The sequence below is a fragment of the Homo sapiens genome, chromosome 19, assembly GCF_000001405.40.
Source record: "Homo sapiens chromosome 19, GRCh38.p14 Primary Assembly".
NCBI classification, from domain to species: domain Eukaryota; kingdom Metazoa; phylum Chordata; class Mammalia; order Primates; family Hominidae; genus Homo; species Homo sapiens.
The window spans coordinates 35,469,127-35,471,422 of record NC_000019.10 but is presented as its reverse complement, the minus strand read 5'-3'; the positions used below and the strand labels follow the sequence as shown (position 1 = coordinate 35,471,422).

Sequence of the window (2,296 nt, the reverse complement as noted above, 5' to 3'; positions counted from 1 at the left end):
CAGGCGTGAGCCACAATGCCTGGCCTCAAATACATTTAAGAAATTAATTGGTTTGGTCCAGAAAGATGGGACAATTCAAAGTGGGGCAGGGCTTCCAGGCTATAGGTAAATTTAAACATTTGCTGGTTGACAATTGATTGAGTTTGTCTAAAGACCTGGGATTGACAGAAAGGATATGTTCAGGTTAAAAGATTGTGGAGACCAAGGTTCTTTTGAAGTCTTACAGTGGCTGCCCTTAGAGACAATAGATGACAAATGTTTCCTATTCAGATCTTTAAAAGGTGCTAGACTCTTAGTTAATCTCTTCAGGATTGGGAGGGCCTGGAAGAAAAAGATCTAGCTATGTTGATAGAGATTCTTTACAGATGCAAATTTTCCCCACAAAGGACAGCTTTGCAGGGCCACTTCAAAATATGATTTTGGAGTAAAATATTTTGACTTTCTTCTTTATCAAGTAACGTTATGCCACAGTAAGACTGGAAAGTAAGTCACGATATATAGGGTTAAATAAAACCCAACTGATGAGAATTTATGGTTTTTAGGGCACGATTCTCTGGGCCCCTTAGATAGGAATTTGGGCAGGATAAAAAATCAGAGCTTAGTCCTCAGCAGAATCAACTTAAAACCAGGCTTTATGTGTTTATTATGAAATAATATATGCTCATGGGAAAAATGTAAACAGTACAGAATTATGTAAAGCAGAAAATGAGGCCGGGTGCAGTGGCTCATGCCTGTAATCCCAGCATTTTGGGAGGCTGAGGCAAAACAATTGCTTGAGGTCAAGAGTTCCAGGCTGCAGTAAGGTATGATTGTGCCACTGCACTCCAGACTGTTTTTTAGTGACAGTCTCACTCTGTCACTAAAAAACAAATTTTTTAATGAAAAAAAAAAGAAAGAAAGTTGACCTACCTTCCCTCCTCCCAATTTCCTAAGTAACCATTGTTGACTGTCACGTAGCCTTTGCGAATTTCACGTACATGTGTACACATCCATGCTTTCCTAGCAGAGGCTGAGAATTCAGACTCCGGAGTCATACAGATCCAGGTTCTAGTCCTGCCCTGCCACTTATTTGCTGTGAGATATAGGACAAGTTATTCCACAATCGCTCTAAGTCTCAGTTCCTTTTTTTTGTTTGTTTGTTTTGTTTTTTGGAGACAAAGTCTCAGTCTGTTGCCCAGGCTGGAGTGCAGTGACTCGATCTCAACTCGCTGTAGCCTCCATCCTCCCACCTTAGTCTTCTGAGTAGCTGGGACCACAGGTACATGCCACCATGCCTGGCTAATCTTTTTTATATTTTGTAGAGACAGGGTTTCACCATGTTGCCCAAGCTGGTCTTGAACTCCTGGGCTCGAGTGATCCTCCCCAAGTGTTGGGATTACAGGCATGAGCCATGTGCCTGGCCAATTTCCCTTTTTGTAAAAAGAAAAGTCATGGCAATACCTATGTCCCTGTGCTTTGGTAAGAATTCATTGAACGGTGCATGCAGAGAGGTTAGCTCTGTGCTCACATGTATGAAGGTCTCAAAAACACTCAGCTGCTATTATTATATATATATATAGTCATGCACCACATAACAACGTTCTGGTCATTGACAGACTGCGTATATATACAATGGTGGTCCCATATGATTAGAATGGAGCTGAAAAATTCCTGTCACCTACTGACATTGTAGCTGCTGTAACATCATAGCACAATGCATTACCTTTTCTATGTTGAGATACACAAATACTGTTGTGCTCCAGTTGCCTGCAATATTCAGTACAGTACCATGGTTTGTAGCATAGGAGCAATAGGCCATACCATTATAGCCTAGGTGTGCAGTAGGCCATCCCATCTAGGTGTGTGTAAGTACACTCTGTGATGTTTGCATAACGACAAAATTGCCTGTATTTGTCAGAACATATCCCCATTGTTAAGTGACACATAACTATACTGATTTTAAGATTATAGACAGTACTGTTTTATTTATTCTCTTCTACAACTGCTATTGTAGCTTCATAAGATGTTTCAGACCTCTTTCCGTACCAAGACTCATACTGAAGGCCGGGCACGGTGGCTCACACCTGTAATTCCAGCACTTTGGGAGGCAGAGGAGGGTGGATCACTTGAGCTCAGGAGTTTGAGACCAGCCTGGCCAACATGGTGAAACGCTGTCTCTACTAAAAATACAAAAATGAGCTGGGTGTGGTGGTGGGCACCTGTAATCCTAGCTACTTGGTAGGCTGAGGCAGGAGAATCTCTTGAACCTGGGAGGCAGAGGTTGCAGTGAGCCGAGATTGTGCCGTTGCACTCCAGC

General features: G+C 42.3%; 1 annotated feature.

Annotated features, from left to right (window-relative positions):
* Positions 1 to 574: an enhancer, noted in NCBI's record as "OCT4-NANOG-H3K27ac-H3K4me1 hESC enhancer chr19:35961751-35962324 (GRCh37/hg19 assembly coordinates)". NCBI's record gives its function as "activates a minimal SCP1, AML or CMV promoter by ChIP-STARR-seq in naive H9 embryonic stem cells {active_cell/tissue: H9 hESC(naive)}" and the evidence as "EXISTENCE:reporter gene assay evidence [ECO:0000049][PMID:30033119]".